Raw genomic sequence first — 21249 nt, 5'->3', positions numbered from 1 at the left:
TCTAGTGTTTTATGAGAGGTAGAACCTCTGAGCAATGAAACCAGATATTTAGCTAAACAGTTTTCTAAGCAAAGTGTTGAAAGAGTGGCCTTGTTCCTCCTGACACCTTATAGAAAAATACAAGGGGAAATAAATTAATTGAATATGAAATTTAAGCAAGCAAAAAGGAACCAAAATTAAAGATTTTGAAATTCTCAGCCTGTCCATTGTACAAAAACTAAGAAAGTATATTTGACATACAACAATAAAGGTGTGACAGACTGAGCACTTAGTAAGGATATTAGGCTGGGTGCAGTGGCTCATTCCTGTAATCCCAATGCTTTCAGAGGCTGAGGTGGGAAGATTACATGAGACCAGGAGTTTGAGACCAGCCTGGGCAACACAGAAAGGAGAGACATAAATTTATAAGTTCAAGAATTTCACAGAACCTCAAGCAGGATAAATTTGAAGAAAATTTCCTAAGCATATTATAGTCAAACTACTGAAAACTAAAGATAAAGAGAACATCTTGAAAGCAGCCAGGAAAGACTGGCATATAACATAAAAGGGGAGCATGATTTAAATGGCAGCTGACTTCTTTTTGGAATAATGGAGGCCAGAAAACAGAAGAACAATATCTTTGAAGTGCTTAAGGAAAACAACTGTCAACACAGAATTCTATATCCAACTAAATAAATTTCAAGAATGAGGTAAAATAAAGCATTTTCTGATAAAATAAGTTAAAAGAATTTTTGTCAGTGCATTCACACTGCCAGAAACACTTTATTGTGATTCTTACTATTATGGTTTTCTTTTTCTTTTTATATATATATATATATTTTTTTTTTATTATACTTTAAGTTCTAGGGTACATTGGTCTTGAGATCTCTCTGTCCAGAGGGACCATAAGCCAAGATAGCCACTCTCTAGGAGAACTTAACTGGGGAATAAAGTTAGGTTCAGTTGTCTGTGTCAGGGGAGACACAATGAGGATGTGAAACCAAAATGCACGTAAATGAAGAGAACTGAACTGAGATTTGAGCTCCTTCCCATGAAACAAGGTTTGCAGTTTGAGCTCAATTAAGTAAACTTTATTATTCAGAGGTCCCAGAGAGATTAGGGATGCTGATGAGAGACTGACAAGAAGGCTATAGATATCAAGGATCTCAACCAGAGGGTGGGGAGTGAGAGAGAAAGGGTGAGAGAGAACCTGTGGGGCTACGCCATTATTAAGACCCATAGGCATTATCATTTATGCTTTCCTGAAGGGGCTATGGATTGTCTAGTTAAAAAAAAACACTCAGGAAAAGGGGAAACTTATTTATATGACTCTGGTATTGACCATAGGTTTTATCATGGTCAGCAGCTATTGAGTGTGTTGGGCTTGGGGTCAGTGAGATGAGGAAGAAGGAGGCTATATAATAAACAACCACACAGGGAAAGGAAGCTTTAACTAGGTCAAAGGCAATGGAGTATGACTGCTTCCAACAACTTATATCAGGTTTAAAAATGGATGTCAAGGCAGCAACTATATAAATAAACTTACAACACACTTGTTAACAAGCCTTTCTTGTGATACTGATACGTGCTAATGTTAGGAAACAACTGATATAAATGGAAATTTAGTACCATATACAAGGTTAATATAGAGTATCTTCGCTGTCCTTGTTAACTCAAAGTTCTATAACTGCATGATTTAATGACATGCAATAAGGAAATTTGGCTGGCTGAGCTAGACTTCAGCTGTTGTTAGTGTGGGCAATATACTTTTATGAACCATGGACACAAACGCTGCTGCTCCTGGGTTCAAGTGAAAAAGCACAGTACAGAGTCTCAAAAAATTCCAGACTCTACCTAAAGCCTAGCACTGTTATGGCACCCTAAGGATCTTAGGTTTGTTATCATTAAAAAAAAAAAAAAAAAAACCATTTCTGAAGGCAATATTACGTGGAGGGTTAAAAAAAAAAAAAAGCCATGGAAGCCACAGCAATACTCCCTCAAGTAGCTTTGCAAGAATTGCTTGTCAACCAAAGCAGAGAGGGGTGGAAAAGGTAGACACAGTGAGGTCAACAGACTAGTTCAGAGGCATAATTGAGGCATCCATTTGGTGATGATTACTAACAGGACCTTTTGGTGGTGGCGGGGGGTGTGCAATGGAGGATGATTAAGTTCCTGCTTGAGCTAGTAGAAGACTTTGGAGTGACTTAAAATATGGCAATAAGGGCAAAAACTATCTTCACTTAGCATAGCCAGTTGCCATTGAGGCTTAAAAACTCTGCAAAGGACTGGTCTAGTGGTGGGAAAAATAGATGGCAAAAACAATATATAAAGGCTGACAATGTTATTTTAAAAAATAGATGTGGACACACTGGCTACTGGCTATTACATTACTCATTATAGGACAGAAGTGAATATCATGGTTTCAACATCAATATGTTGCAGCCCCATGGCTTTATTCATTCTTGCGGAGTACGAGGAAATAAATTTCCATTCTGCAGTCCACTCAGGGGTGAGGGATGAGAACCTCACTGGAACACGTCACTGTGATAGCAGCAGGTGGCAGTTAGGATCTGGTGGAAGAATTGTACAGACCTGGAATTAAGTCTCAGATCTGGCTCACCCTTCAGGTGACCCTGAGAAATTTACTTGTCCTCTTTGGCCTTCAGTCTCCTCATCTGTCAAATGGAGACTATAATGGTCTCCACTGATAGGATGATTGTTGCTGCTATTCCGTCCAACAAGTTTGACATTATATTTTTTAAAAGGAAACAGAAAGTTTCTTAGTTTGTGATTTTCCTCTTCTCTAGAAAAGAAGAGGATATTTATGTTATTGATAAATTCTGAGGTACACAGAGATGACAGCTGGGAAGAACTTGAAGCAAAATAGGAGAGGGTTCGGTTCTGTGCACACAAAAGATTAGTGAAGAGCACCAAGGCTGCCACATTGCTTGTGATTCCATATGTCCTTCCTTCTTCCATGCTTACCTATCACAGAATTCACACTATGGTTTTTGTGTTTGAAGGAAAAACTACATCATTTTCAGAATCAGTGCTTGCACTAGTTGCCAGGATCATTTTTGTGACACCCACCCCCACCAGAGACTTTGTAAAGCTAAGAAGTGTTTTTCACCCACTGCACTAGTCAAAAGAGTGGTTTCATTTGAAAATCCACCTGTCCAGGCAGGCCAAGGTAAATATATCTCCTTATGAAGGTAACTTAGATTTGGGGATACAGCTAGAGCATGCTCAGGGGAATTTGTAGCTGTACACAAATATAAATCTCATCTTGAGGGTCTTTCCTTCTGAATTCCTCAGCAAATTTTGCCATATGACTTAACCTTCAGTTTTTCGCCCTCTTCCTGCCCAAAATGGATCTTGGTGTTTTTGACATCACTTCTAACTCTACTTTCCACACCTTGGATTAATAAAATGTAATCTTTCCTCCCATCTCTTCCTTTCATCCTTTCCTTCTTCTCTCCTTCTTTACTTTCCCCTTCTCTTCTAATTTCCTTCACTCTTTCCTTGTAAATTTTTCAGTGTATTGCAAACTTTCAGTATAGTTTGTGAAAAGATGAACTGAATTTCCATGTGCTGACTGCTCAGTTTAAGAAATACAATTTTACAAATAAAAATAAGCTCCCTGGTTACCGTCTCCAATCCAGTTCCTCTCCTCCTCCCTACCAGAGGCATCCACTACCCTGAATTTTGATGTTAATCATTATTATGTGTGAAATTAAAATTTTACCACATATGTATGTAACCATGCACAATATGGTAATGTTTTGAAGGTTTTCAAACTTTATATGCATAGTTTCATACCATTTAAATCCTGCAAGTTCCTTTTTTCTCAACATTTTGTTTTTGAGAAAGAGCTTTCATTTTCTTTTGTTTGCTAAATGACATTTTAAAAGTTAGCACGTGCTTCTGTCATTTATAAGAAGTGGCACTTCATTACCCCAACTTAGAAATAATCTCACAACAAAGAACAATCCTTTGTTAAACTGTACACATTTATGTTTATAGGAGGTACTGCCTTCGTTTTGTTATTCTATCTAAACTTGGTGAAAATGTCATTCCAAGCCAAAAACAGTGTACAGGATAGCAGTGCTCATATGCAGCACTGCTGGCCTCTTTAGTGGCATCTCTGAGTCTGTGCATTCTTTCAGGGATCTGTGAGGAATCCTTAGCAAGAAAACCAGGATATCTTAGGGTCTTGGCTTGGAGTTAACTTCAAAGTTACATTTTGTCTCTGCCCACATTTTGTCACCATGTACACATGTAACAAAAACAGAGCTCCCTAAACTATATAAGGAAATTAAACGTAAATAGTGTATTAGTTCATTTTCACGTTGCTATAAATAACTTCCCTGAGACTGGGTAATTTATTTAAAAAAAAAAAAGAGGTTTAATTGATTCACAGTTCCACATGGCTGGGAAGACCTCAGGATACTTACTGTCATGGTGGAAGGGGAAGCAGGCATGTATTACATGGTGGCAGCCAAGAGAGAGTGAGAAGGGGAAATGTCAGATGCTTATAAAACCATTAGATCTCATGAGAACTTCCTCACTATCATGAGAACAGCATGGGGGAAACTGCTCCCATGATCTAATCACCTCCCATCAGGTCCCTCCCTTGATATGTGGGGATTACAATTCGAGATGAGATATGGGTGGGGACACAGAGTCAAACAATATCAAATAGGAATTTTCTGGGAAATGTGAGAATAAGAATCTTCTAGATGCATGAAGAAAAGGTTGAGACTCCATTTTCTTTCCAGTTTCCTTTTTACTGCCTCCTCTTTTTAAACTCATCTCTTTCAAGTCAAACATCACAACTCACATTTCTAGTGCACCCTTGTTTTACTCTTTTTCTACTTGCTTTTTCCTTTTGATGTGCCTTTCTCTTTTCCACTTACATTCCCCTGTTCTATTTCTATCTATGGGCAGTAGAATACAGTAACTAAAGACACGTGCTCCAGACTGAGACCCATGCTCAAATCCTCCTCCTGCCACTGGCCATTGTTATGATTTTGACAGATTATTTATCTTCTCTCTCTTCCAGTTTTTTCATCTATAAAATGGGATAATTTTACTACCTGCCTCGGGGATTAGTATGAGAAGTAAATAAAATATTATCAATACTAAAACACTGGGCACAGTGCCTGACCCAAAGTCAATTCCCCAAAGCTACTAAAATCATCACCATCTCTTTCCTCTGTATTTTCCATTCTCTCTGACCTCCTGTCAGCTAATCCTCCACATGCCTTTATTCACCTCACCTTCTCTGACTCCTTTAATTTCAATGCAGGTGTGCTCAGGCTCCCTTTCTCTAACAGAGAGGATCCAGAAATGGGGCATAGTCCTGACAAGAAACAGCAGCAGGTTGTATCCATATAGTTACAAACCCACCAACACGGATGATCAGGCAGAGACAGGTTTTGTGATTTGCTCAATCACTAAAGTATGCTCCTTGTCATTCCATTATGGTCCTGCTCTGAAGGATCATGTATTGCTCCCTGAGGCACACAGAACAGCAGAGTCTGATTTGAATATTTACAAAAAAAAAAAAAAACCTGAAGAAAGAAAACCTGAATAAGCCAAACCAGGTGATCCCACATGAACACTAATCACCGTCAATCAGACCTCAGTACACTCACAACCCGCAACCCCCAGGATGGTCCTCAGAGGGGTCATCTTAACATCCTGCTGAAGGTGAGAGAACTCCTGGGGGAAAGGAAAAGGTGTATGTGGGGGCAGGAGCAGGGGATTTCCTATAGGCTAGGACTGCAGGCAGGTGCTTGAGTAAGGGTAACCAATTTAACAATGGGATCTATCTCATCAAGTTCATCTGGGTCAAGATGTCTCTTCTGTTCATCACCTAAGGGAAAAAAGTGGTAACTGCTCTCTAGAGAATAAGAAGCTCTTTATCAGATCCTCCTAAACCATCTCTGAGAGTGACCTCAGTACAAAATCATGAGCTCAACTGTGCCTGGACCTGAATACATTAAAAATAGAAATGTAACCCAGACAAGTAATTTGAAATTTCCCAGTAAACCTATTTTAAAAGTATAAGGAAATAAATTAATTTTGATAACATATTTTAACTTAATATATTCAACCTATAATCATTTCAACACATCATCAACATAAAGATTATTAATGAGATATTTTATATTCTGGTGTTTTTTTGCTTTGAAATCTGGTGATCACTTTACACTTAGAGCACACCTGCATTTGCACCAGCTACATTTCAAGTGTTTAGCAGCCACACATGGCAAGTGGCTACTGAATTGGACACTGCAGCTTTTGACCCAGAAGCTTTCTAAGGTATGAACCTGAACATGTGGCCTGTGCTACCCCGACACATATGAAAAGCAGAAACAGCAAAATGTTTGTTGTTAACTTCAGAGGAAACACTTGCTTTATGGAGAAGCAGGCCTTCAGATATATCAAGGGATTCAGAAGGCTGGGGCTTGACTCAGGTGAGACTCTCTCCCCTGTAGTCGGTCTTCCCCTAGCTGAGTCGCCCCTCTGTTAATATGCAGGGTGCTGCTCAGATCCAATGGCTCAGGGCCCTCCATGCCAACTGGTGAATATATTCATAAGAAACCATTCATTCTACTTGCACTGCTCTGACTTTATTTTCCTGAAGGGGTTCTTAAAAACAGAACACTACAGAAGCAGCCTCCCTAGAAACAAGTGAAATGGTTTCAAGGAGGAGATAGCATTAAATCATTAAATGCTGCCGATAGGTGAGAAAAGAACCAAGACTTGATCATTGCAGAGGTCAGAGACAACCCCAACTGTGCCCCAGCCAGTGCAGCAAACACTGTCCATGTTCAGCTGCAGACTGAAGGATATATGTCCAGGCACTTGAGCTGGGTTTGAAAGAAGCACGACAGCATGATAATGGGAACCAAGCAAGTGTTAGGAGGCAGTAGGTCTAAGAAAGACTGATGGAGGAGAATCAGGACAGGGTCTTCAGGGGCCCTGTACACTAGCCAAAGTACCATACCCGCTCAGGGCCCACTCACCTCTCAAGGCTCCCAGCCTCTAAACACGACCAGGAAACTGCTTCAGAGGAGCCGCATGCCCTGTGGCCTGACCCTCATCACCACAGCCTCTAGAAGCAGGTCCAGGTGAGCACTTGAGGCTGGCGACAGCTGCTTCTGCAGATTGTCCATTAGGCCTGGAGAAGCAAAGTCTGTGACTGTTATAAACTCCTTCTCTGCCCATATGCATTCAATGGATCTAATGGTCACCTCTGATTCACATCAGGTGTGCACAATGACAACAGAACGGGCAAACGTCCACCAAGGACAATGTGAAGAGAAGCCAAGGCACAACCAAGCAGCTCCCCGACCCTCCTGAGCCTGTGGCACCCAGTCCTCTGCCACATTAGGCTGCTGCCTCCTCATATCCCCCAGGACAAACACTGTTTTCTGACTTTCAGATTGCTCATATTTCTCATCTGGTGTTGTTACTTTCTCTTGTTTCCTAGAATGGTTATTAATTTGTTCTTTAAACATATTATTTCTGTCATTTCCTGGGTTTGGATTGGGAGGGAGGTAAAAGGAAGGAGGAAGTAGTGGAGGGGCATTATTATTTATCTCACATGTTGGCAGTAAAGATACACTGACTACACGACATCTAACATGAAATAGAGGTTTGAGGATATAATTGAAACTAATAAAAAACAACAGAAGAACTGAAACTAATAATACAAGGAACAGATCTTACAGTGGAGGAGAGAAGCTGGAAGTGTTCTAAATTCCTCATCCTTCCCAACGATCACTCAGTGGATTTCTTCTAATGTTAGTATAATCATTAAGGAGGAGTACAGACTTAAGTTTGTGATGGACTAAAACAGAAATGATTAACTCTTTGCAAGGAGAGAGCAGAGCGAGCCCCATTTCTTAATACCATTACTTTGGGGGTTCAGTTTCACCATAAGAATTTTAGGGAGACACCAACATTCAGACCACAGCAATATGTCTACACTAGCTACCTCCAATGATGATAAATAAGGTCTCCTCCCTCTCTCTGCCTCAAACATACACACATCAAGTATAATTCAATGTGTTTTTAAACATTTACAGTCATTCTTTCCTTTTTGGTGCTCAAATTGTCCCATATTTGACCACTGGGAGCCCCCTGGAGTTTCTTTTCAGACCCCTCAAGTGTAAGAGAACCTCAGCTTTTATCCCACAATTATTGTAGCCTTTGCCCCTTTAGTTTGATGAGCATGAGAGATCAAAAGAATGTAAATATTTAGTTGCAATGAATTTGGTTTATTAAAATTAGGCATTGTGACACATTAGAGTGGTAGTCATATTGTTGCATGTTTTCTCTCCTTGAAGTGATGATTGGATTAATAGATTCAACTAAGAGCATGATGTATAGTAGATTTCAATGTGTGTTTTGTTGTTAATGTTGACTTTGATGGTAATGATAATAATAGCTTATATTATTGGGTACCTGCAATGCGCCAGGCTTATTTCACTAAGTACTTTAACTCCACTCTATGAGATAATTGCTAATAGCATTCATTTTACAAGTTATGAAACCAAAATACAGAGAAGTTAAATAACTTGTCCAAAGATACAGATCTGATAGTAAGGAACCAGGTTGGGATTTGAATCCAGGCTATTCAGAGCTCAGTTTCCTAATCGCTGGGATGATCATGATTGTATTAATTTATTGCTGATATTTATTATTCATTCATTCATACAGCAATTATATATTGAGTTGCTCTATAGACTACACAATTGAGCCCAGCATTGTAGACACAGAGAAAAATAACAGCAGAACTCAGCCCTTAAAATGGAATCAAACGGACATTCTCCCGTGATAGACATGCTCAGGACATGCTATCTAATTTATTCTTCCAAGTTTGTCCTGCTTAGTAGCAGGCCCCAGCCAACTCTCTCAGACCTCAAACTTTTCCTAGGGCCCAAACACTTCTGGTAACCCTCACTCTCCCCCAACAAACCTAGAAGGAAGATTTACTGGGCTCACATCCAGTTGTGGTTTACACAGAGAGCTGTCGAGAAGATGAGGGAGGAGGGAATGAGAAACCTCCTCTCAGTGGGGGGAAGTGGGAAGATGTGTACCAGGAACTGTGTAGTGTATTCACCAGTACCTGCTCTTACTATTCCCAAACTCTTCTACCTGAAAGATGTGTGGCATTATCTTAGGTTCGCAAATGTAAAAACACACTCATGGAAGTTAAATGACTTATCGAAGATTATGCAGTTCATTAAGTGGTGAAGACTGGGTTTGAACTTAGGAATATTTAACCAGTTGCAGATGATGTTCTTTCCACCATGTCAGATACTTTGAAACATTTGGGATCTGGCTATGGTGTGCTGGAGACGACTTGTATCATCTAGCAAGATCTGACTGTGTGCATCTATTCCCATTTCCACGTTCAGGGACATCACTTTGGTAGCTTAAAATCAGCCATGGAAGGGAGTATTTACACAACAAAAACTGGCAGATGCTACAAATCAGGACTTTTACGTCCAGAGAGCTGGTTCTGCACACCACTGTTCATCTGCACACCACTGGGATCTGGTAAACTGGAAGGCAGATATTAGAACTAGGTCAGAAATTACTCTTAGCTGGTCTTCATGGTGGAGCCAAGAAGAGTTAAATTAAGAGGGTCAGCCAGTTAGTAACCAGGTACGTCAGTCTAAAAGGCCTCTAACTCAGGGATCAGCAAATTTTCCTGTAAAGGGTCAGATAGTAAATAATTTAGGCATTACAGGCCACATATTAATCTTTGTTTTATTTTTACAAATCTTTAAAAAGATTTTTAAAAAATTATTCTTAGCTCACAGGCTGCAGGCTGGATTTGGCTGGCAGCTGTTAGTTTGCTGACCCCTGCTGTAAACTAGCACCAAATATATAGAAAGACAGAAACTACTCATTACAATTGTTCTCACAGACAGTGTTCTTTGTCATTGGAAAAAAAATCGATAAACTGCTTAAAGTATGGAACATTAAAATAGCACCTGCCTACCCCTTAAGAAACATAATCAAGTGGCAATGGACTGATACCAAACTGCCTTCTGAGTAGGGCAGGTCTCCTAATCACAGAGCTTTTATTTGGCTCAGTGGAATGTGCAACGTTGAGGTCACAACTAGATTGCTCAAGACATTAGGGGCATCACGGAGCTTTCTCTGCTGTACCACTGCACAGTCTTCATATTGCCCTCTCCATATACACTGACCAAATATTTGAAAACTGGCACAGAATAATTTCTCTGCCCAGGTCCCACCATGCCAGAAGCACATATAAATATCTCTGAGATCCAGATAATTAAGACAGAGATGAGTAAGGGAGGATACAGGAAACATACCCACCTATATTCCCGAGCATTTTTATTTCATGCCTCATCCCTCCTCCCCTCTTCCTGGGGTAATTAATGTGCAGAAAATGGAGTGATCTCCATGGAGCATCAGAATCCCTTTTTTCATGACATGCAGAAGAGGCAGAAAGACCTAGTTTCTTTGGATCCAGAGTAGGTGAAGGGAGAAACAAGCTGCCAGGTAATCAGGCTGCTGATGAAACTTCCATAAAGATTATGAGTTTCCTATCTTGGTAGCTGCTTCCCTGTTCTTCCAACGGCACCATTGGTAAAAACCCAGCCAGGTGATAGGTTTAAATGAAAACCGAGGGGGTACATGGACAGGATGAATGGGCATGTGTAAGTTGCTTGACAGTGGGGAAATAGACTGGAAAGAGGATACTTTAGGTTGTGGTTCCTAAATTGGTCGTATTGCCAGGTGCCAACAGAGATGTATTATAATTACATTAAAAGACTAAACATACAGATTCCTGGGCATCACCCAAGAAAAGTCTGGTTTGATCGGTTAGAAGCTAGATGTGGAAATGCAGGTTTTTAAACAGCTACTTAGGTGGTTGTGGTACACAGGCATGTGGAAAAGCTGATTCTGAAAATGCTCTGAGAAGCAAAAGAGCCAGTTCTCAGAGTATGGTCTGAGGTCATCTATGAAGGGCTCAGAAGCTATTTTGGTAGTTCTCAAAGAAAAGCATTTAAACATTTTGTTTATTTATACTTCATAAATTTAAATTGTAGTTTATGATTTTTCCACAGTTTCACTATATTTTTCATAAAAATTGCTTTCTTAAAAATGGTGCATGAATCATAAAGTTTATCTGATCAGTTAATCTTGACTAAGATTCAGTTAACCTGGAGCACCTTGGTCTTCATAAACATGTATTTATTTTACATTACTATGGGTTTTTCTTTACAATTTATTGGTTTCTATTATGTAATTTTATATCTTCACCATAAAATAAATCAATCAAAGGCTTAAGAGTGAATTATTGAATGTAAAAGAGGTTGAAAACATTAGTAACAGAAATACTTCAACTCAAAATAACTTTTTAAATATAAAGAGAAGAGCTTCTTTTCAAATTATCTGTGAATGTGTTGATTTTGCGCAATTACATAGAACAAAATGTGCTAAAAAGAAATATAAGCATGAATCTCTGAAAACTGAATTTTATTGGATCATTAGTCTATTTGCCTCTTGGGTATTATTTTTGATGAAACTTTAAGTAGTGTCTGCAATAGAAGAAAAATATTTTATGTGTATATTCTTTCCTTCACTTCTAGCAATAAAATCTGTCCACAGGAGTGGGCATATTGTACAGGCTTGATAATCAAAATAATCTATCCTCAACCAGTGTTATTGATTTCAGCATGGAATTGTGATCCAAACTGGGACAACCAGAGTCTTCCTTATTTATTTATTTATTTATTGACACAGAGTCTCTCTCTGTCGCCCAGGCTGGAGTGCAGTGGCATGATCTTGGCTCACTGCAACCTCTGTCTCCCGGGTTAAGCAATTCTTCTGCCTCAGGCTCCCAAGTAGCTGGGATTACAGGCGTGTGCCACCACGCCCGGCTAATTTTTGTATTTTTAGTAGGCACGGAGTTTCACCATATTGGCCAGGCTGGTCTCGAACTCCTGACCTCATGATCCACCTGCCTCGGCCTCCCAAAGTGCTGGGATTATAGGTGTGAGCCACTGCGTCCAGCCTTCCCTATTATTTTTATCTATATACAGGTGCTAGGAAAGTGTTCTATTACTGTGAGGTCACAAATCACAAGGATCATACAACCTTTCAGCTGCCACATGTAAAGAACCTGCCTGAAAATGAAGCCAACAGAAAACTGCAGAGCCGAGAGGTGGCATGGGAGATACAGAGGCCTGGCCATATCCTTCAAATATCTGGATACAACATCCCTCAATTATTTTGCACTTTTTCTGCCTTCTCAGTTTTGAGTTAATTCAGTGCTTCCCACTCCTCCTTAGGCTACTTTGAGGTAGATTTTTATCACCTGTATAAAAGTCCTAGCCTATAGAGGACTAAAGCCATCAAAGACTTTTATATAATTGTCAGGCAAAGCACACTCACCTCTCTGCTAAGGCAATTTACTTTTCTCCAGAACAAGAATGAACAAGAACAAGATATTGGTTTCCAGTATCAACTTGATGAGTTTTGTCAATAAAGTAAAAAGAAAAAAGACTAGAATTACCAAGTTATCATTTGTCATTGTACTCCTGATAGTGAAAAAAGGTACAACACAAAGCACTGGCAAGAAGCTTATAAAGCCAACCACAAGCTAATGATACATATAGTTGATGCTAAATCAGAAGTAAGTCAGCAAAATTCCTATATCAAATGATACTGTTATACAAACATACTGTCAATAGCACATAATGTGAATGAAAAAGTATGTACTAGAACACATTTTGCTTTATAGTAGATGGAAATGATTTATATGCGGAGCAAGAATACATTCCTGGCATCTGTGCAGCATGTATAAGAGCCTGAAGCACTTGATGACTTTTTGCATCTGGTTGTCATTGAAAACTCATGCTGTACAGGAAGAATTTTTACACAAATTATTTTGCGATCCATGGTGTAGACTGGAAAAGAAGATTGGGATTACTCCTATGAGAGCAGCAGCTATGTGTGCAGCAAGACTTGTACTTGAATGCCAACTCACCTGCTCCTTTATTAACAGAGAACTGTTTTTAATCACATGCCTCCTAACGTTGATTCAGTATCGAAGAAAATAGAGAATTCAAGTCATTAATGGATACTGAACAACTGAGACAACAGTCGACCCTTGAACAACAGGGGTTTGAACTGCACTGGTCCACCTATATCTGACTTTTTTTCAATCAAATGTGGATCAAATATTGAAATAAATATTTGCAGGATGTTAAACCCATGTATACAGAGGGCCAACTTTTCATATACTCAGGTTCGGGGCTTGAGCATGAGTGAATTTTCATCTACATAGGTGTCCTGCAACCAATTCCCCACATACATAGAGGGACAATTGTATTTCATTTTAGCAAGTTGGACAAAGAAATGACATACTCTTGATTTCCACATTTAAGTTTATTTGCCATGAAAGGGAAAGAACATACATGAGGGTTTTTAAAAGTTACTACTGTGGTAACAAAACAACATTATCCTCTTAACCATTTTTCCTCTTAACCATTTAAATTTATCCTCTTAACCATTTTTTCAGTGTACAGTACGGTAGTGTTAAGTATATTCACATGGTTGCAACAGATCTCTAGAACATTTTTACCCGGAAACACTAAAACTCTATACCACTAAATACTAACTCCCTCTCCTACCAGCCCTTGATAACCACCTTTCTACTGTCTGTGTCTATGATTTTGACTGCTATGAATACATCATAGGAGTGGAATCCTATAGTATTTATCCTTTTGTCACTGGCTTCTTCCACTTCGCATAATATCCTCAAGGTTCATCCATGTGTGTATGTGACATGATTTCCTTCCTTTACTAAGGTTGCATGGTTTTTCACTGTATGTATATGCCACATTTTCATTATCTATTCACCTGTTGATGGACATTTGAGGTGCTTCACCTCTTGGCTATTGGAAATAGTCTTGTGATGAACATGGGTGTGCAAGTATCTCCTTGAATTATTTGGAAATAATTCACTTTGCTTTGTGAATATCTAGCCACAGTGGGATTGTTGGATTGTATGGCAATTCTACTTTTAATTTGTGAGGAACCTCCGTACTGTTTTTCGGTATGTATGGTTGCACTATTTTACATTCCCACTCACAGTGCACAAAGGTTCCAACTTCTTCACATCCTCACAAACACTTGCTGTTTTGTGTTCTGTTGATAGCGGCCATCCTGATGGATGTGAGGTGATACCTCATTGTAATTTTGATTTGCAGTTCCCTAATGATTAGTGATATTGAACATCTTTTTATGTGTTTATTGGCCACTTGTATATCTTTTGTGAAGAAATATCTATTCAACTTCTTTGCCAATTTTTAAATCTATTTGTTTTTTTACATATTCTGGATATTAATACCTTATCAGATATAATATTTGCAATTATTTCTTCCCATACTGTTGGTTGCCTTTTCATTCTGTTGATTGTTTTCTATGGCTATGCAGAAGTTTTTAAGTTTGATGTAGTCCCATTTGTTTGTTTGTTTTTTTATTTTGTTGCCTTGCATTTGGTGTCATAGCCAAGAAATTACTGTCCTAAATCCTTTCCCTTCTATTTTCTTCTAGAAGTTTAATAGTTTTGGATCTTACATTTAGGACTTCACTTGATCTTAGCCAAAAGGCCGAGAAGTGATACATTTAGGTCTTTAATCCATTTTGAGTTAATTTTTGTATATGCTATAAAGTAAGAGTCCAGCTTCATTCTTTTGCATGTCAATATTCAGTTTTCCCAATACTATTTGTTAAAGGGACTGTTCTTTTTTTCCCTACTGTGTAGTTGTGGCACACTTCCTGAAAATCATGTAGCCAGATATGCCAGGGTTTATTTCTGGGCTTTTTGTTCTGTTCCATTGGTCTACATAGCTATCTTTATATCAGTACCACACCATCTTAATTATTGTTGCTTTGAAGTATGTTTTAAAATCAAGGAGTGTGAGGCCTACAACTTTGTTCTTCTCTTTCAATATTATTTAGGCTACTCAACATCCCTTGAGATTCTACATGAATTTTATGATTTTCTAATTCTACAAAAAATGCCACTGGGTTTTGACAGAGATTGCACTGGAGCTGTAGATTGCTTTGGATAGTATGATATTTAAACAAGATTAGGTCTTTCAATCCACAAGCATGGGATATCTTTCCATTTATTTGTATTCTATTTCTTTCAGCAATGTTTTATACTTTTTGGTCTTTCATCTCCTTAATTAAGTATATTGCTAGCTATTTTATCCTTTTTGGTGCTGTAAGAAATGGGATTGTTTTCTTAATTTTCTTTTTGAATTGGTCATTGGTATAGAAATGCAACTGATTTTTGAGTGTTGGTTTTGTGTGCTGAAACTTTGCTGAATCCATTTCCTAGTTCTAATAGTTTCTGTGCAGAATCTTTAAGATTTTCTAAATATAAGATCATGTCATCTGTGAACAGAGAGAATTTACTTCTGCTTTTCCAATTGTGTGTCTTTTCTTTTTTTTGTCATATGCTATATATAACAAAATTTTTTTGTTTTGTTTTGTCTTAATTGCTCTGGCTGGAAATTTCAGTACTATGTTGAATAGTAGTGGTAAGGATGGGCATCTTTGCTTTGTTCCTGATCATAGAGGAAAAACAGTAGTTCCTAGTTGCATATGGTATTAACTGTGGGCTTTTCGTGTATGGCTTTTATCGTGTTGAGATAGTTTCCCTCTATTCATAGTTTATTGATTGTTTTTATCATGAAAGGATGTTAAATTTTGTCAAATGCTTTTTCTGCATCAATTGAGATGATCATGTAGTTTTTGTTCCTTATTTTGTTAATGTGGCACATTACATTGACTGATTTTCATATGTTGAGCCATCCTTGTATTCCAGGTATAATTGCCATTTGGTCATGGTATATGATGCTTTTAATGAGCTATTGAATTTGGTTTACTAGTATTCCTTCTTTTTAGGGTTTTTGCATCTATGCTTATCAGGGATATCAGCCTGTAGTTTTCTTTTCTTGTCTTTGTCTTGGTGTCAGGGTAATACTTGCCTCATAGAATGAGTTTGGGGCATTCCTTCCTCTTATTCTTTGGGAGAGTTTGAGGATTGGTGTTAATTCTTCTTTAAATGTTTAGTAGAATTCTCCACTGAAGCCATCTGGGCCTAGGCTTTTTATTGTTGTCGTTATTACTGAAAGGTTTTTGATTACTGTTTCAATGTCCTCTCAGTTATAGGTCTGTTCAAATTTCTTATTTCTTTATGATTCAGTCTTCGTAGGTTGTATGTTTCTATGAATTTATCAGTTTCTTCTAGGTTATACAATTTGTTAGCGTACAATTGTTCATAGTAGTCTCTCAAAATCATTTTTATTTCTGTGACATCCATTTTAATGTCTCATTGCCCATTTATAATTTTAGCTATTTGAGTCTTCTCTATTTTTCTTAGTCTAGCTATGAATTTGTTAAATTTTTGATCTTTTTGAAAAACCAACTCTTAGTTTTTTTGATCTTTTCTATGGTTTATGTTTACTTTATTTCCTTTATCTCTGTTCTAATCTTTATTATTCCCTTCCTTCTGCTGACTTTGGACTTGGTTTGTTCTTCTTTTTCTAGTTCCTTGAAGGGCAGAGTTAGGCTGTTGATTTGCAAACATTTTTCTTTTTTCATGTAAGCATTTATTGCTATGAACTTCCCTGTTATTGCCACTTTTACTGCATCCCATAAGTTTTAGTGTGTTGTATTTTTGTTTTCACTTGTCTCCAGGTATTTCCTAAATCCCTCGTGTGTTCTTCTTTGACCCATAGGCTGTTTAATAGTGCAATGTTTAATTTCTAAATATTTATGGATTTTCCTATTTTCTTTCGGCTATCGATTTCTTTTTTTTTTTCTTTTTTGTTTTTTGAGACAGAGTCTCGCTCTGTCACCCAGGCTGGAATGAAATGGCATGATCTTGGCTCACTGCAACCTCCGCCTCCCGGGTTCAAGCGATTCTCCTGCCTCAGCCTCCCGAGTAGCTGGGACTACAGACATGTGCCCCCATGCCCAGCTATTTTGTATGATTAGTAGAGACAGGGTTTCACCATGTTGGCCAAGCTGGTCTCAAACTCCTGACCTCATGATCCGCCCGCCTTGGCTCCCAAAGTGCTGGAATTATAGGCACTAGCCACCACACCCAGCATCTGATATTGATTTCTAGTTTTGTTTTATTCCATTGTGCATAAATGGGTTTTTGAAAGAGGTTTGATAATAGCAATAGAGAACATTTCTATGATTTCAAATGGCTTGCTCAAGTCTTGTATATTAGCAATATAGTCATTATCTGCAATAACCTGAAGCTATCACCTTAAGCCAAAACATTATGAAATATTTAGATACCAGAATTTCTTTAAAAAATAAACAAGAAGTAAATGGCTTAAAAGTCAGAGACTTGACACTTACCAACATTTGGTGATTTTTTTTGTTTTTTACTCACCACGAAAAATGATAACGCATTATGGAATTTGCTTTTAAAAATGCAACCAATTACAATGACAAAACATTAAAAAATACTTTCTAGAGAAGAATGCAAGCACATGTTGTGCTATCTGTATAGTACCACTAGCTCCATGTGGCTATTGAACACTTGAAATGTGAATAGTGCAACTGAGGAACTAATTTTTTACTTAATTTAATTTAAATTTAAATAGCCCTATGCAACTAATGGCTACTGTGTTGTACAGTGCAATTCTAGAACAAGAGAAATAATAGACCCTCTTTTATAGGGGCTAATGGATCACATTTAAATTAAAACATTCAATTTGTTGAGGTGAGAGATGAGGGAGAAGGCACATTGTAGAGTGAGTTGTAGAGTGATATAGACAAACTTCAGTGCATGTGAAGAGAAGGTAAGAAAACTAGAAACTATCATGTCAGAACCAGGTTGAAGGAATTTGAGATGGTCTTCATGGGAAAACGATAACTCATTTAAGCAATTAACATTGCAATGGTTGGAAGAATAATTAAATTTACTTTCAAAGTTTCCTAAAGGAGGAATTAGAACCAATAAGTAGCTTGATACAAGGAAGAAATTTCTAACGTGAGTTCCCTATTTAGAGAAGTCTGGTGCTAAAGTGTATGACCCAGACTTATGACCTAGGCTTTTCTTTTCTTTTCTTTTCTTTTCTTTTTTTTTTTGAGATGGAGTCTCGCTCTGTCACCCAGGCTGGAGTGTGGTGGTGCAATCTTGGCTCACTGCAACCTCCACCTCCTGACGACCCAAACTTTGTACTGATGTTACAGCATTATAACTTCACTTCCTCTAACTAAGAAACACAGTCCTAAGAGGGGAAGTATCCTTAATAACAATATTCCTACTCTTGAGACCTAGAGTATATTAATAGAAAGGGTGTATATCTTTCTAATGAGAGGAAGATTTAGAGACAAAATTTGTCATTTGAGGCCCTCTGGAGGGGATCCCAAATCATATTTTAGGATATCCAAGAATCAAGGTTTTGGGGTCTGTACGTTAACATAATACTAAGTTGTTTTCTCTCAATGAGCCTGTGGGTTTTGAAGTGTGATCCATGATTCTTACTGGAATCTAGAGAACAACTGGTTACTAAGTTCCAAATAATTTTCCTAAGCAAGAAGACTGCTATTATGATCCCACTAAGTTTTCCTGTATACATCACATTTTCTCTAAACTTGAATCATTTAATCTATGCATTTCTGGGCTGCACATGTCTTCAAATTATGGGTGATGATGATTTGCTATTCAATCATCATGCTCAGCACTGGAGACATGCCTTTAAATTTGGTTTTCTCTTCCTAGAAGCACTATTTACAGTAGCCAAAAGGGGAAACAACCCAAATGTCGATCAACAAATGAATGGATAAACAAAATGTAGTACATACTTACAACGGAATATTATTCAGTCTTAAAAATGAAGGAAAATTCTGACAAATGCTACAATATGGATGAACCTTAAAGACATATGCTAAGTGAAATACGCCAGACAGAAAAGGACAAATGCTGCATGTTCCCACTTATATGAGCTACCTAAAATAGTCAAATTCAGAAGGACAGAAAATACAATGGCGGTTGCCATGGGCCAAGGACAGGAGCGAATGGGGAGTTATTGTTTAATAGGTACCAAGTTTCTTTTTGGAATGTTAAAAATGTGCCAGAGATGGATCATGATGAGGGTTTCACAACATTGTAAATTACTTAATATCACTGAATTGTACGCTTAAAAATGGTTTATAGCCAGGTGTGGCGCTGCACACTGGTGATCCCAGCTACGTGGGAGGCTGAGTCAGGAGAATCGCTTGAACCCGGGAGGCAGAGGTTGCAATGAGCTGAGATCATGCCACTGCACTCCAGTCTTGGTGACAGAGTGAGACTGTCTCGAAAAATAAAATAAAATAATGCCGGGCATGGTGGTTCATGCCTGTAATCCCAGCACTTTGGGAGGCCGAGGTGGGCAGATCACCTAAGGTCAGGAGTTCGAGACCAGCCTGGCCAACCAGATAGTGAAACCCCATCTCTACTAAAAAATACAAAAATCAGCTTGGCATGGTGGTGGGCACCTGTAATCCCAGCTACTTGGGAGGCTGAGGCAGGAGAATCACTTGAACCTTGGAGGTGGAGGTTGCAGTAACCCAAGATCACATCACTGCACTCCAGTCTGGGCAACAGGAGCAAAACTCTATCTCAAAAATAAAATAAAATAATAAAATGGCTTAAATGGTAAATGTTATGTTACATATATTTAACTTTAATAGAACTTTTTCAAATTTAGTTTCCTCAAAACTTGGATTGCATTAAACTATCTTCGCTGTATATGTGAGATCATCTATAGAAAGTGGCTAGTGCTATTTTTGTATTTTTCCTCTAACAAATGTAGTTTAAGAACATGCCAATCTGATTTTGAATCACATAATCCGGTGGATGGGCATTGTTGGTGCAATATGCAATCGTCATGTCCCAGGCATCAATAATACCCACATTAAGATCCACAAAAATATCTCTTATGATAAGATTCTGAATATAGCCATGAAAGTCACTGAACATCTCTGCATTTTGTTCTATCTCTCTGGTGTTTTCAGTTTTAAGTATCACCTTGGTCTCCGGGCTTCGCAAGAATAGACGTTCAATGGCCTTTTGAATATTGATGGCCCTACGGATGAAAATGTTGATGGGAAAGGGTCTGAAGTGTTGGCCGAGGGTAATGACAATGGCTGTGTTTTTGTCTCCTGCTACCTGGTCAATTTCCCGTGGGATATAGTTTTCATCTTTCACTGAGAATAATTTTTTGGTAACAAATGGATGACCATGTTTTTTCCACTGAATCAAAATATGTCTTTCAACATCCAGAAGAACATGTGTTTTAAAGATCCCAGCTCCATGATGATCAAAATATTTTAGGGCTGATGAAAGACAAATCAATAAATATTTTAACAAAAGGAAAATGATATAACTTTAAACTGCACACAACATGTATAAAATTCTAACCAAGATCACTTCTAACTAAGCACTATTGCCTATGTAAGGTGGATAATTTTACCAGGTGCATTACAATCTTAACAAAATATTGAACTTGTTATGAGAATACATGAAGAGGAAGAAAAATATTAACATTTGTGAATGAAAAGATAAAATTTAACTTTTTATTAAAAGCCCAAAGCCAAAAGTTAGGCAAATTTAAAATAAAATAAAATAAAATAAAATAAAATAAATATTAGAAAAGAAAAGCAAATAATTCTAATTATTATTTCAAAACCCTCAAAAGTCAAATAGAATTTCAAAATATAAATTAAATACATACTTTTCACAGCTTTTTGTAAGTAGTAAATCCACTGATGCAGTGTTGAATCTCCCATGAGATAAATAAGTTTTCTTTCCAAGCAGTCATTTATATTTTTTGTTTCATTGAACTTGATCTGTTTACAAAATGCTGTAATCCACATTTTTTTCAAAGTATAACCACTGGGGAAAGGAGTCTTCATTCCAATCTGGCAGTTCTTTTTTATGTTCTCGCTCTCTGGCAATACAAATTTCCAGATTAAGTAATTTTTATTACCACAAATTATTTTGGAAAAATGTTTCTCATTTTTGCCTTCCTTTTCCTCTTTTTCCTCCCCCTTTCTCTTCAGCTCTATTTTGCCTTCCTCTCTTCCACAAATATTTATTTAATAAGATCATGTTAAAAGGGTGAATTAAATAGCTTTTCTTGAATAGTTTTTCTTGGAGTGGGGATCTGTTGACTCTTGTGCATT

At 37.9% G+C, this 21249-nt stretch overlaps 1 protein-coding gene across 8 annotated transcripts in view; it reads right to left on the bottom strand.

Annotated features, from left to right (window-relative positions):
- The window catches only part of NXPE2 (neurexophilin and PC-esterase domain family member 2), a 349427-nt gene that overhangs the window by 86908 nt on the left and 241270 nt on the right, over positions 1-21249 (bottom strand). For 5 of the 8 annotated variants that reach the window (XM_017017209.2, XM_017017207.2, XM_011542604.3 and 2 more), the window contains 2 exons: positions 20799-21014; positions 19726-20400 (listed from right to left, as the gene is read on the bottom strand). In XM_017017209.2, coding sequence (XP_016872698.1) covers positions 19865-20400; positions 20799-21014 — 752 coding nt within the window. In that variant the 3' untranslated portion in view covers positions 19726-19864. Of the gene's footprint in view, positions 1-19725; positions 20401-20798; positions 21015-21249 lie in introns of those variants that run through there. The other 3 variants (XR_001747769.2, XM_017017212.2, XM_017017211.2) reach the window with 1 other exon arrangement.

The sequence above is a fragment of the Homo sapiens genome, chromosome 11, assembly GCF_000001405.40.
Source record: "Homo sapiens chromosome 11, GRCh38.p14 Primary Assembly".
Classification (NCBI taxonomy): Eukaryota; Metazoa; Chordata; class Mammalia; order Primates; family Hominidae; genus Homo; species Homo sapiens.
This window is presented reverse-complemented; position numbering and strand designations above follow the sequence as displayed.